Genomic DNA, 15,327 nt, shown 5'->3' with positions numbered 1-15,327 from the left:
TTTTTATATTTTTATTAGAGACAGGGTTTTACCATGTTGGCCAGGCTGGTCTCGAACTCTTGACCTCAAGTAATCCCACCTTAGCTTCCCAAAGTGCTGGTAATACAGGTGTGAGCCACCATGCCTGGCCGATATTGTGTATTTTTAATTTTAGTTGTTCTGGTAAGCATATATTGATAGCTTATTGTGACTTTTGTTTGCATAAATATTAATGAAATCGATTATATTTTCATATGCTTACTGATCATTTGGATATTTTTAATGAAGTGGCTACTGAGATCTTTTGCCTATTCTTCTATTGGGTTGTTTGCTTTTTCTCTTTAACTTGTTTTTTATATATTCTGAATATGAATACTTTGTTATACGTGTATGCAGATACCCTCTGACACTATAATTTACAAATTTATACTTGATGGCTTTTGTTAAACAGAAATTGTTCTTTTTCATGTAGAATACTTCATGTTTTTCCCTTAATGGCTACCATTTTTTGCATCTTATTAGAAATGTTCTTCAATTGTCTGCAAATTGATTAATGTTAACATTTCTTTCTCAGCTTAAGAAGTCTTTTCTTTTGAAACCATTGTATGTATAATTATTGATGTCTTATGAAGCTGAATGTTAAAGAAATCTAATTGATTTACAAATAAAAATGATATGGGTTAATAATATTCCTAAGCAGGATGCCACTGCTAACAAACTGAATAATTTGTATTTTTATATATATGTATATATACACACACACAAAATAAGTATTATATGTGTGTAGATGTAATCACATAATCACGTAATCACAGCTCACTACAGCCTCGACCTCCCAGGCTCAAGAGATCCTCCCACCCCAGCCTCTCAAGTAGCTGGGACCATGGGCACATGCCACCACATCCAGCTAATTTTTAAATTTTTTTGTAGAGTCTGGGTCTCCCTGTGTTCCCCAGGATGGCCTCAAACTTCTGGGCTCAAGCAATTCTCCTGCCTTGGCCTCCCAAAGTGTTGGGATTATAGGTGTGAGCCACGGCGCCTGGCCCCCTGGTACTTCTGTTGACCAAAATACTTATAAACTGTTAATGTGCTTGTTTGGTTTGCAAATAGCTAGGTTTTTTTTTTGTCTTCTTGAAATTCCTTTTATCAAATAAAACTTAAATGGCCTCTTTTTAAAGAACTCAGTATTAAATTTGGCTGCAAAGATGATATAAGCAATGTAGAAGACAGAAATTTATTTTCATCACGTTCAACAAATTCTGAAGTAGTCAGTGCTCTAAGGTATATGGTGTCTATTTTCAGATTTAGCAAATGATCCTGGAGGTTATTGGAGCTCGTACAAAAAGAAGAGAAAAAGAGAAAAGAAAAGAACATACCCCCTCCTTATAAAGACACTTAAGGGAAAAGCAGCGCGTATCATTTTTGTTTACATCCTGTTTACTTAGTCTCACAGCCACACCTAGCTACTTAGGAAGCTAAGAATGTAGTCCTTTTTTCTGATAGGCACGTGCTTAGCTAAAAATAGGTGGGTTTACGTAGAAAACAAACGTTGGAAAACAAATTTGCATTCTCTGCCACTGGTATTGAAGGCTATGATTTAATAATAAACACTAGTTTCTCTGATCAGTTAATTTGCGTACTTGGCTTTTCATAGCAAGAAATGCGGGTTGCTTTAAATAAAACCATATGAAGAATTGTAAACACTAAGCTCCGTACTTGATAAATAACTCTTAAATCCATCAAATTATTAAGCAATAGCTTAAAGCTGCTCTAAGAATTAGTAAGTTTAAAGAAAACTCACCTGCAGTCTTAATGCTAATCCATATACATTTTGTGATTTAATTTTTCTAATTTGTGAAAGATCTGTAGATTTCTGCTTTCAACCATGATAGAGTAACTGGGACTGGACTTACTGGTAGTTGTTTTTAGACAGTGGAGAACAAGTACAACAGGATTGTGCTCTCAGAAGGGAAACAATTGAGGTAATGCTATTGTCACCCTAGTTTTCTTTCTAGACTGTGGGGGTTGGGGGAACCAAGCAGACATGGCACAATTGCTGAGTTGAAGAAACAGATTGAAGTTTGGGAAGGTTGAGTTACCTGGGAGGTATGGGAGCAGAGTATGAAAGAGAAGGGCCTGTGTAGAAAAAGTGCTTCAGAAATAATACCTTTGAATCTGTTGTTTGAATATTATTAAGCCACATATGCACAGTACATATGCCTGTGAGGTCAGGCAAAGAACAACCAGAGAGCTATAAGCTTAACTTTCCAGGACTCACACAGGCCTGGGAGAGATATTTGAGTGATAGCCAACTACAACAGAGAGTCCTTGTTGAATACTTGAAGCACACTCAAGGGCACCTGACACCAGAGGAGACATGGACTGAACTAGCTCCAGCATGAAGGCAAATCCAAATCTACCCTAATGAAACTTAAAAACAAACTCCAAAACAGTGTAGCTAATCTGAAAGTAACTTATGTTTTTCTAAAAATGAAGTCTAACACTTTAAAAGAAAAATAACAAATATAACAAAACAACAGAATAACAAATTCTGGTGCTCCTAATGTGGAGCATCCAATTGCCAGACATGTTAAGAACCAAAAAAATGTGACCCATAAACAAGTGAAAAATTAATCAACAGAAACAAACCTAGAAAATTACAGAGATGATGGAATTATCAGCTGTGCACTTTGAAACAGTTACTAAAAGTATGTTCAAGTATTTAAAGGAAAATATGAGCATAGGAAGGAGAAAAAATCAAATAGAACTTACAGAGATTAAAAATAAGACACCTGAAAAAAATACATGATGGCATTCATAGCACATTGTATTCTACAAAAGAAAACATCAGTGAATTTGAAGATAGCAAAAGAAACTGAAGCACACAGACAGAAAAAACTGAAGGCTGGGCGTGGTGGCTCACCCCTGTAATCCTAGCACTTTGGGAGGCCGAGGCGGGTGGATCACCTGAGGTCAGGAGTTTGAGACCAGCCTGACCAACATGGTGAAACCCCTTCTCTACTAAAAATACAAAAATTAGCCGGGCGTGGTGGTGTGCACCGGTAATCTCAGCTGCTTGGGAGGCTGAGGTAGGAGAATTGCTTGAACCCCCGGGGGCGGAGGTTGCAGTGAGCCGAGATCGTACCACTTCACTCCAGCCTGGGCAAAAAAGCAAGACTCTGTCTCAAAAAAAAAAAAAAAACAAAAAACTGAAAAAGAAGTGAACAGAGCCTTAGTAACTTCTGGACAAAATCAAGCAGTCTAAACACACATATGTATAACTGAAGTTGCTGAAAAAAATGGTTGGGGCAGGGAGCAGAAATACATCTCAAGAAATTATCCTAAATCTTCATATATGTGGAAAACATAAACCCACTTATCAAGAAGTTCAGTGAAACTTAAGCAGGATAAACACAACGGAAACCACACCCAGGCTTATCATAATTAAATTGCTGAAAACCAGGAATGCAGAGTAAATCTTAAAAGTAGCCAGAGCTGGGCAGGGGTGGGGATTGGTGGAGACGGATGAGGGGGGACCACTTTTCCTTCAAAAGAATAAAGATTAGAATGAGGAGAGAGATTTCTTACTTGATACAGTGCAAGCCAGAAGACAATGAAGCATCATTAGAGTGCTGGAAAAAAAAATCAAACTGGAATTCTATATGGAATTTAAAAATGAAGTTAAAATCTTCTTTCAGGCACACAAGAGCTGAGAGCATTTGTTAGCAGCAGACTTCCATTTCATGAAATGGTAAAGGAAATACTTTAAACATGAGGAAAATGATACCAGTTAGAAACTTGAGTTTTATACAGCATGATAAATATGTGAATATGTGACTTTTCCCTCCTTTTTTTGTTAATTTAAAGGATTATTGACTGCTTAAAGTAAGATAATACATTTTTGGCGGTTATGACATATGAGAAAAGCAAAATATACAACAGTACCACAAAGGATAGCTTGAGGGAAAGAGACGTATACTTTGGAAGGTTCTTACAGTGTACTGAGGTGTTTTAATATTATTTGAAGGTACTCTGTGATAAATTAAAGATGTATATTGTCTACTCCACAGGAGTCACTTAAAAAAAAGTAAAAAGGGATAGCATATAATGTAAATGAAATAGAATACCAAAAAATAAAATCCAAAGGAAGCCGGGAAACAAGGGAAAAAAGGAATAAAAAATAAATGGGACAAATAGAAAAAAAATGACAAGATGGTGGGCTTTTAAACCCAACCACGTTAATAATTATATGAAGTGGGAATGCAATAAAAAATTCAATTAAAAGATTGTTTAGATAAAAGGAAGACTGAGTTACTTGATGTGTATAAGAAACCCATTTTAAATATGAAATCTCAGGTAAAAAGCCAAAGGTTGGGAAAGAAAATATATGCAAACACTAATCATAAAAATGCTGGAGTAGTTAGCTGTACTAATATCAGGAAAAGTTGACTTTGGGCAAAAGAATATTACCAGGGATAAAGAGAGACATTTCATAATGATAAAGAGGTCAATTTATTGAGTAGACATAATCTAAATATAGATCTGTTTAATCTAATTACCTAGTTTCAAAACACGTAAAGTGAAAACTAATAGAACAAAACAGAAATAGATAAATCTTCAAGTATATTTAGAGATAGCACTCTGCTGTCAGTCATTGATGGTATAGTAGACAGAAAATCAGTAAAGGTATAGAACAGGGGTTGGCAAGTTCTTACCTGTGGGCCAAATCCATCCCATTGCCCACTTTCAAATTTCCCATGAGCTAAGAGTGGTTTTTAAAATTTAAAATCGTGAAAAATACTAAAGGATAAGATTAAATGGCACACGAAACTTTCATGAAATTCAAATTTCTGTGTCTATACATAAAATTGTATTTGAACACAGTTATATTATTTGTTTATAGCTGCTTTCATGCCGTAACTGCACAGTTGAGTAGTTCTGACAGAGATCCTGTGACCCACAACGTCTGAAATATTTTTGTGCCCCTTTAAGAAAAAGTTGGTAGATCCCTAATATAGAAATTTTTAACCAGCTTGATCTAATTGACAGTATAGAACAGTTTTCCCAACACCAGAATAATACACTTTATTTTCAAGTTTATATAAAGTAGTCACCAATTGTATTAGTCCTTTCTCACACTGCTGTAAAGAACTGCCTGGATAATTATAAAGAAAAGAGGTTTAATTGTGTCACAGTTCATGTGGCTGGGGAGGCCTCAGGAAACTTACAATCATGGCAGAAGGGGAAGCAGGCAAAGTCTTATTACATGGCAGCAGGCGAGAGAGAGTGAGTGTGAAGGAGGAACTGCCAATCGCTTACATAACCATCATGTTGTGAGAACTTGCTTCCTATCACAAGAAGAGCATGGGGGGAACCACCCCCATAATCCATCCATCTCCCACCAGGTCTCCCCCTCAACACATGGGAATCATGATGATTACAATTCCAGATGAGATTTGGTGGAAACACAGAGTGAAACCATATTATTCTGCCCCGGCCCCTCCCAAATTTCACATCCTTTTTCCATTTCAAAACCAATCATGCCTCCCAACAATCCCCCAAAGTCTTAATTCATTCCAACATAACCCAAAAGTCCCAAGTCCAAAGTCTAATCTGAGACAAGGCAAGTCCCTTCTGCCTATGAGCCTATAAAATCAAAAGCAAGTTAGTTACTTCGAAGATACAACGGGGGTACAGGCATTGGATGAATGCTCCCATTCCAAATGGGAGAAAGTGATCAAAACGCAAGGGCCATAGGCTCCTAAGCAGGTTCAAAATCCAGTGGGGCAGTCATTAAATCTTGTTTTTGTTGTTGTTGTTTTGTTTTTTGTTTTCTGTTTTGTTTTTTGAGACGGATTCTTGCTCTGTTGCCCAGGCTGGAATGCAGTGGCACGATCTTGGCAAACTGCAGCCTACGCCTCCTAGGTTCAAGTGATTCTCCCACCTCAGCCTCCTGAGTAGTTGGGACTACAGGTGCACATCACCATGCTTGGCTGATTTTTGTGCTATTAGCAGACTTGGGGTTTTGTCATGTTGGCCAGGCTGGTCTCGAACTCCCAGCCTCAAGTGATCTGCCTGCCTCGGCTTCCCCAAGTGCTGAGATTATAGGTGTGAGCCACCATGTCTAGCCAGTCATTAAATCTTAAGGCTCCAAAATAATCTCCTTTGACTCCACATCTCACATCTAGGGCATGCTTTTGCAAAGAGTGAGCTTCCAAGGCTTTGGGCATCTCCGCCCCGGTGGCTTTGCAGGGTTCAGCCCCTGTGGCTGTGTTGAATGCCAGCAGCTGGTGTTGAGTACCTGTGGCTTTTCCAGGCGCATGGTGCAAGCTGTCAATGGATCTACCATTCTGAGATCTGGAGGACAGTGGCGCTCTTCTCACAGCTCCACTAGGTGCAGTGCCTCAGCAGGGACTATATGTACGGGCTCCAACCCCACATTTCCCTTCTGCACTGCCCTAGTAGAGCTTCTCTATGAGGGCTCCACCCCTGCAGCAGAATTCTGCCTGGACATCCAGGTATTTCCATACATCCTCTGAAATGTAGGTGGAGGTTCCCCAAATTCAACTCTTGTCTTCTGCTCACCTGCAGACCCAACACCACATGGAAGCTATCAAGGCTTAGGGCTTGCACCCTCTGAAGCAACCAGTGAGCTGTACCTTGGCCCCTTTTAGCCACTCCTGGAGCTAGAGCAGCTGGGATGCAGGGCACCAAGTTCCAAGGCTGCACAGAGCAGCAGGGCCCAGGCCAGCCCGTGAAACCGTTGTTTTCTCTTAGGCCTCCAGGTCTGTGATGGGAGGGGATGCTGTGAGGATCTCTGACATGCCCTGGAGACATTTTCCATATCGTCTTGGCAATTAACATTTGACTACTGGTTACTTATGCATATTTCTGCAGCCAGCTTGAATTTCTCCCCAGAAAATGGATTTTTCTTTTCTACCACATGGTCAGGCTGTGAATTTTCCAAACCTTTATGCTCTATCACCTATTGAACACTTTGCTATTTAGAAATTTCTTCTGCCAGATACCCTAAATCATCTGAGTTCAGAGTTCCACAGATCTCTAGCATGGGGCAAAATGCTGCCAGTCTCTTTGCTAAAGCATTGCAAGAGTGTCCTTGGTTCCAGTTCCCAGTGAGTTCCTTATCTCTATCTGAGACTACCTCAGCCTGGACTTCATTGTCCATACCACTATCAGCATTTTGGTCAAAAGTATTCAACAAGTCTCTAGGAAGTTCCAAAGTTTCCCACATCTTCCTGTCTTCTGAGCCCTCCAAACTGTTCCAACCTCTGCCCATTACCCAGTTCCAAAGTCACTTCCACATTTTCAGGTATCTTTATAGCAGTATCCCACTCTACCAGTACCAATTTACTGTATTAGTCTGTTCTCACACTGCTATAAAGAGCTGCTGAGACTGGATAATTTATAAAGAAAAGAGGTTTAATTGACTCATAGTTTCACATGGCAGGCGAGGCCTCAGGAAATTTACAATCATGGCAGAAGGGGAAGCAGGCAAGTCTCACATGGTGGCAGGTTAGAGTGAGTGTGAATGAGAAACTCTCAAACACTTATACAACCATCAGATCTTGCGAGAACTCCCTCACTATCACAAGAACAGCATGGGGGAAACCACCCCCATGATCCAGTCACCTCCCACCAGGTCCCTCCCTCGACACATCAGGACTATGGGATTACAATTCTAGATGAGATTTGGGTGGGGACACAGCCAAACCATATCACCAAGATAGGCAGGCTGTATCCGGGTCCTAAAATAAGTTTAGTCCTTTAAACAGTGATTAAAATCATAAAAATTATCTGACTTCATTAGAATTCTATTAGAAATCAAAACAAGATCTTCAAATATCTGGAGGAAAAATTTCCCAAATAGTAAAAAAAAAAATAAAAATAAACTTAACCCATTGATCAAAGAAGTTGTCACAAGGGATATTCGAAGCTACTTTGAACAGAAATAAAATGAAACCGTAACTTAATGAAATTTGTGGGGTTCCACTAGAGTTGTTCTTAGAAGGAAATATGTAGTTTTAAATGTTTATATTAGAAAAGAAAAAATGTCTAAAGTGAATCATCTAGGCTTCCAGTTATAACTAGAATAAAAAGAACATGTTAAACCCTACAAGTAGATAGAAAAGAGGAAATATTAAAGATGAAAGCAAAAGTCAGTGACAGAAAAAACTAGAGAAAAATTAATGAAACCAGTAGTTGTTTATGTGGTAAATAAAATTAGTAATAATACCTCTAAGTAGACTCAAAAAAAAGGAAAGACACAAATTGCCAGTATCAAGAATGATTCTACAGTCATTAAAAGGGTATTATTATTGACTTAATGTTTGTATCCTCCCAGAATTGGTATGTTGAAGCCCTAACTCGCTATGTGATGGTATTTAGAGCTGGGACCTTTGGGAAATAATGTTTAGATTACATGATGAAGGTGGGTGGTGCCCTCATGAGGGGATTGGATTAGACTACTTAAGAGACACTAGAGAGCTTGCTTGCATGTCCTCTCTCCTTGCTGTGTGAGGACACTGAAAAGTCAGCCAGCAAATAGGCAGCTGTTTGTAAGACAGGAAGACCCCTCACCAGAAATGCTTGATCTTGGGCTTTTAACCTCCATAAATTTTTCTTGTTTAAGCCACCCAATCTGTAGTATTTTGTGTGGTAGCCTTAACTGACTAAGTAGATTCAGTGAATATTATGAAATTTTAAGCTAATAAATTTGACACTTCAGATGAAGTGCACAAATTCTTTGAAAGACACAAATTCCCAAACTGATACAAAAGCAATAGAAAACTCAGATAGTCATATAGCTGTTTAAAAAATCAAATTAGTTATTGAAAACTACAGTCCCATATGGCTTTATTGATGAAGTCTATCAGACATATAAGGAATAAATAATACCAATCCTACACAGACTGTACAGAATATAAAGGAGGTGGGAACACTTTCCACTTTTTCTTATGAGGCCAGTATTATGCTGCTGCAGGAAAAGAAAACTACAGATTAATATCCTTCATGAATATTGACATAAAAATGTTTAGCAAGATATTAAATTAAAATCAGGGGTTTTTGCTTGTGGTAGCAGTGTGAGAGCAGAGTACAAGCTGCAGCGGTGGAAGTCATGGCAGGACAAGCATTTAGTAAATTTCTTCTGTTTGAGTATTGGTTGAAAAGAGTAGAACGAAAACCATAGGCATTATGCTTACAGAAAATTCTCAAGGAAAAGTATTGTAAGCAATAGTTGGTAGCTGTTGGATTGGGCTCTGAAGGAAAGAATGGAGAGATTCAGCCAGTTAGCATGAAAGTTGGAGATAAAGTTGTACTCACAAAATGTGGAGGACTAAAGTAATTCTAAATGATAGAGATTATGCATTAATAATTTTCATTAGAGAACGGGGTCTTGCTATGTTGCCCAGGCTGGTCTCAAACTCTTCCTCAAGTGATCTTCCCATCTCAGTCTCCTGAGTAGCTGAGACTACAGGTACTTGCCACTGTGCCCAGCAACAAGGATTTTTTCTTATTTAGACATTCTTGGAAAGTATATAGACTGAAATAAATCGTCATTGAAATGGCATCAATATGAAGCTGCCCATCCCACTGAAATCTTTCATCATGGAAATAATTCTTTCATTATTTCTGAAATAATGAAGTTCTGAAATATTTCATTATGTAAATGTTGTATCTCTCTTATAACAAACTAGTGATCTCTAAACTAAAAAAAAATCACTATATATATATATATGCACACACACACACACACATACACACACAGACACACACGTATGAAGAGTGAGGAAAAAAATCATGGTACATGTGTCATGACCAAGTAGGGTTTCTACAAAGTGCTTACATTTGAAAATCAGTGTGACAGAATACAAGGTAAAATCTGCTCACCTTAAGAGATCTGGAGAAGGCATTTGAAAGAATTCAACTCCTTTTGTGATAAACCAAATTGTTAGCCAACTGGGAATAGAAGGGAACATTTTCAACCTGATAAAGGTATGAAACTACAGCTTAGCATTATTATATTCAATAGTGTAAGATAATGCTTTTCCCCTAATATCAAGAACGAGGCAAGGATGCCTAGTCTTATTGATTCTATTCAACATTTTGCAGACAGAAAATCCTGGCTAGTTCAGTAAAGCTGTAAAAAAAAAATAATAAATAAACAGCAGCCCAGGCACGGTGGCTCATGCCTGTAATCCCAGCACTTAGGAAGGCCAAGGTGGGCGCATTACCTGAGGTCAGGAGTTCGAGACCAGCCTGGCCAACTTGGTGAAACCACGTGTCTACTAAAAATACAAAAATTAGCTGGGCGTGGTGGTGTGCACCTATAATCCCAGCTAGGGAGGCTGAGGCAGGAGAATTTCTTGATCCTGGGAGGCGGGGGTTGCAGTGAGCCGATTGCATCACTGCACTCCAGCCTGGGTGACAGAGCAAGACTCCATCTATAAATAAATAAATAAATAAATGGCATATAAATTTGAGAGTAAGAAAACTGTGTATGTAGAAATACTAAAGAATTTAGCAAGGGTGTAGGATATAAGATCAAGATATCAAAGTCAGTTGTATTTCTGTATATTATCAATTATTAATTATGACAAAAAATTTAAAAGTGTTACTGATCCATTAAAAATTATGAAGTACTTAGGGATAAAGGTGTCAAAATATGTGTGAGACCATTACACTGAAAACTACAGAACTTTACTGAGAGAAATTTAAAAAGATCTAAATAAATGCAGAAATGTCATGATGTTTATGGTTTAGATGACTCAAAAAAATGTTAAGATGTGAATTCTCCCCAAATAGGTACCTCATTTCAAGAATGGTGATAAAGCTGTAGTAATCTGTAGGGTTCAGATTGCCTGGGGTGGGGGTTGGGGGTTTGGTAGGGAGGACTAACTGCAAAGGGATACTAGGGAACTTTTTGGGATGTCTTGATTTTTGTGGTGGTTATATGGAGTGTATTTGTCAAAACTCATCAAACCCTGCATTTAAAATGTGGGTGGATGTCTTATTCTATCTAAAGTAAACCCTCATAAAGTTGATTTTTAAAAAATGAATCCATGTTTCGCAAGTAGTTTTCCTGACAGATTCTTCTAGTTTTGAGGTGGGAATATTATGAATTTTTAAAAACCCTCTTCCACAAAGCTCTTTGGAAGCGTGACTGATATGTAGTGGGCATTTTGTAGTTTTTAATGTATAGTTTAGTAAAATACAACACGATTTATACAAGCAAAGTATTTTGAATGCTTATTTTTGTATTAAGATTTTTGAAAACTGTCCTTTTGTACAGAAAATAATTATTTAAATTTATGTGTCCAATACATTTGAATTTCCTTGTTTCCTATTGGCTTTTAAATCATGGCCATACAATTGCTTGTAATGGTATACATTCTTCATCTTCAGATTATTTATCAAATCTTTACATATAACCCTTTCCCAGTCACCTAAATGAGTCGTTCTTAGATTTTGAGATTTCATATAGTAATAATATGTTCAGTTAATTTGGGGCAAATTCTTAATTATGGCAAATAAGGACATCAAGTGCAAAAAATCACTGTCATTTACAATTACCATTTTGATTGGGAAAAAATAGAACATAATTTCCAAGCAAAACAGTTGTTCTTAAGAAATGCTAGACGTATTATTGATTACAGTGTACTAGATGTTGTGCTGAGCATTTAAAATATATTGAAAAGAACAAATTAAAATTTCAAAATATTCTTGTTATACCCGTTTTACAGGAGTAGAATCTGAGGCTTAGTAACGTTAAATAACTTGCTCAGAACAGGATATCTGATTTCATAGCTCTGCGCTCTTAACATAGCCCAGGTATTTTATAATACGGAACAATTAACACCCTAAAATGGTGATTTATAATTGCACATTTCTTGGTAAAAGTTTGTCATCTTAGGTCTTTATTTGATAGTGCAGCACGAATGGGAGCTTGGGTAACTTGTTCGGTATTCGCATTTTCTCAAACATAGAATACCTCTGTTAAAGAAACAGCTTTCTTAGTGTTCTTTCATTCTTGTTGGAATATTCTGGGTAAACTGATAGGAGCTTCATGCCTTTAGAAAGTTTCTCCAGTCCTTTTCTCCAGTCCTGTAACTCCTTATGCTGGTTGAGCAAGGCCACGTTGGTGGTGGTATTGTTTAGCTCTCTATGCCTGCAGGGAGGGTGCCAAAAAGACATTCCCTGTTCAACTCTCGCCCCCGTCCAGGACTCTGATGTTTGTTGTTTTACTCTAGTGACAGTGTTATCATTTGTTATTCTCAATCCATGTAAGCCTTTGTAAATTTACATTGTCAGTGTCAAGTCACTTACCTTTTTCTAGGAGTAGTAAGACACTTTGAAATTTTTGTGGTTTAAAAAAAGAAATTACCTTTACACTTTAGTTTGGGTATTTGTGAGACTCAAATGAGGCAGTGTAAGTGAAAACAGTTTGAAAGTTAGAAGTGAAATGACATTTTAGGTATTTGGTGCCTGTTTAGGTATTTGGTGCCTGTTTAGGTTTTTGGAGCAGAATAATGACATGATATACATTATGTTATGTTATGTTATGTTATGTTATGTTATATTATGTTATGTTATGTTATGTTATGTTATGTTATGTTATGTTATGTTATGTTATGTTATGTTACGTTATTTTGAGACAGAGTCTCAAAATTTGAGACAGGGAGTGCAAGTGGTGCAATCTCGGCTCACTGCAGTCTCCTCCTCCTGGGTTCAAGTGACTCTCTTGCCTCAGCCTCCCAAGTAGCTGGATTACAGGCATACGCCAGCACATCCTGCTAATTTTTTTGTTTGTTTGTTTGTTTGGTTTTTTTTGGTAGAGATGGGGTTTTGCCCTGTTGCCCAGGCTGGTCTCGAACTCCTGACTGCAGGTGATCAGCCCACCTCAGCCTCCCAAAGTGCTGGGATTACAGGCGTGAATCACTGTGCCGGGCCTGATACACTATTTTAGTTAACGTTGATATGATACTGGATCCCCAGAATATGGGAAGCAGGGAGAGTGAAATTAGAGTAAGGGAGAGCTGAAGTGGGGGCAAGATCAGGGTGAGGTTGGTGACTTTGAGAGTGGAAATGAAAGAATATAATCAGTAGTCATTTTGGAGGGAAAATTAGTATTTCTTGGTGATTGATAAGGGAGAGGAGGAGATGGAATCTCTTGCCTTCCAGATTAATTAATCCGATAAACATTTGTGTGCCAATTATTTTCCATAATCTGACATAGGCATTTGCTATATAAAGGTACGCAGACCTGTATGGGCCTCTAGGTATTGTTAGTCATTTAGGTCTGGGGAGGATGCTGCTTGCATTCATGAACATAGAGAATTTGGGAGCAAGTGCTAGTTTGGGTATTAAGTCAACCTATCTAGTTGTAAACAAGTTGAGTTCTGTGCCACAGATATGGATGGATACGAAATATAGCTATATTAGTTTTTATTTGGTCCTCATGAAATTTGTTTAGGGTTACAGACATTTGATTGTAAAGTTTCATTAGTGTTTAGAGAAATGATATTTTTAGGCATTTGGAAAGATTATGTTTTTCTCCGAGTAGTGGCAAATAGGGTATTTAGTGATCAAACAACATTGAATGAAACTTTTAGCTTTTAAGTAATTTGTATTTAGTCTTTTGGTTCTATTTCTGGAAGAAAAACTTTTCTGAATCTTACTTGCATAAACTTAAGTGTTCCTTACAGGCTTGTCAATTCTAGTTATTCTCAGTATTGAAACAATAGGATTTAAATAAATTTAGCTTAGATAATGAATTTTTTTACTTTACAGCAGTAATTCTCCAACTTCAGGGTAAATAGAATCTCCTGGAGGGCTTGTTAAAGCAGGTCGTTGGGTTCCACTCCTGGAGCTTCTGCTTCAGTAGGTCTGGGTGGGGTTGGAAATTTCCATTTTCAGCAAGGTGGTACTTAATGTTAAGAATTATTGTTATATAATAAGGAATAAGATTATCATAGGAAACCACAGTTTAGCTTCTAAAAAATAAAGACTATTAGCACCCAAGAAATAAACTTTATTTTAATAAATATACAATTCAAATCCATATCTCCTTAGGATGTGATAAATACCAGATTTTTATCATAGTCTTTCCTGAAATTTTATTTATTTAGCAATAGACTAAATTAGAAAAATGTCCTTAAAATACATTAAAGGCATCATAAATAGTGTTCTCTAGTCATAAGAAAAAGTTGAGTATTTAGAGGTATTTGAAATAATGTAATTCATTTACCCTTATACTTTTCCTTGAAGTTAAAAATCAGACTTCAGTTTTAAAAAATTTAATACCCACAGTGAAAAACCAAAAGCACCTGTTTATTAAAAGGTAGTTGGTTTTGTTTTCTACTCTCCTTTTCCACCTACCCCCATCAGCCCCACGTTTCCCTGAAGTTCAAAACCCAAAACTCATTTAGGATTAAATGTGACAATATGATTAATGTAGTATGTCAACCCAAATTAGTTGCAGTAATTTAAAAAAGAATCTTATGTTTTTTAGCTAATGGGAATGACAGCAAGAAATTTAAACGAGATAGACCTCCCTGTTCGCCTTCCCGTGTTCTCCATCTTCGAAAAATTCCATGTGATGTCACCGAAGCAGAGATCATATCATTAGGTCTACCATTTGGCAAAGTAACTAATCTTTTGATGTTGAAAGGAAAAAGCCAGGTATGTAATATTTAAAGATTGACAAAGAGTGATTATCTCCAGATGTTAGTATTACTGATAATTTTTATTTTCTTGAGCTTTTCTGTATTTTTAAAATTTCATACTATGAACATAAGTTAGTTTTAAAAGTAGATTTTTTTGGGGGGGTGTAACAGGAAGCAACAAACAGTAGTAACACAGGAAACAGGATTTCTCTTATCCATTGACTTATGTTTTTTCTTCTTAAGACACAAATTTTATATTTTTTTAAATTTGTTTTTAATTTTATTTATATTTTGTATTACACAGTGGTTTATCAAATGTCCTGTGATTAGCAGAAAACACTGATAGGATATAAATTATACCTCATTTGGCAAATTAAAGAACAGTTAAGTTTTCAAAAATCTAGATAAAAATGTATAGTATTGTCGGCCGGGTGCAGTGGCTCACGCCTGTAATCCCAGCACTTTGGGAGGCCGAGGTGGGCGGATCACCTGAGGTCAGGAGTTCGAGATCAGCCTGGGCAACATGGTGAAACCCCGTCTCTACTAAAAATACAAAATTAGCCGGGTGAGGTGTCACATGCCTGTAATCCCAGCTACTTGGGAGGCTGAGGCAGGAGAATCGCTTGAACCTGGGAGGTGGAGGATGCAGTGAGCCGAGATGGTG

General features: G+C 37.4%; 1 protein-coding gene and 1 pseudogene across 18 annotated transcripts in view; both read left to right on the top strand.

Moving 5' to 3' along the window:
* PTBP3 (polypyrimidine tract binding protein 3) overlaps window positions 1-15,327 on the top strand; it is a 162,168-nt gene that overhangs the window by 89,360 nt on the left and 57,481 nt on the right. For 14 of the 18 annotated variants that reach the window (XM_047424272.1, XM_047424271.1, NM_001163790.2 and 11 more), the window contains one exon: window positions 14,510-14,679. The exons of the other annotated variants lie outside the window; for them this stretch is intronic. In XM_047424272.1, the coding sequence (XP_047280228.1) occupies window positions 14,510-14,679 (170 nt within the window). The remainder of the gene's footprint in view (window positions 1-14,509; window positions 14,680-15,327) is intronic. 18 annotated transcript variants of the gene reach the window in all.
* Window positions 9,115-9,535, top strand: HSPE1P28 (heat shock protein family E (Hsp10) member 1 pseudogene 28; annotated as a pseudogene).

This window comes from Homo sapiens, chromosome 9 (genome assembly GCF_000001405.40).
Source record: "Homo sapiens chromosome 9, GRCh38.p14 Primary Assembly".
Taxonomy (NCBI): domain Eukaryota; kingdom Metazoa; phylum Chordata; class Mammalia; order Primates; family Hominidae; genus Homo; species Homo sapiens.
The sequence above is the reverse complement of the archived record's forward strand: the minus strand, read 5'-3'. Positions and strand labels throughout refer to the sequence as shown.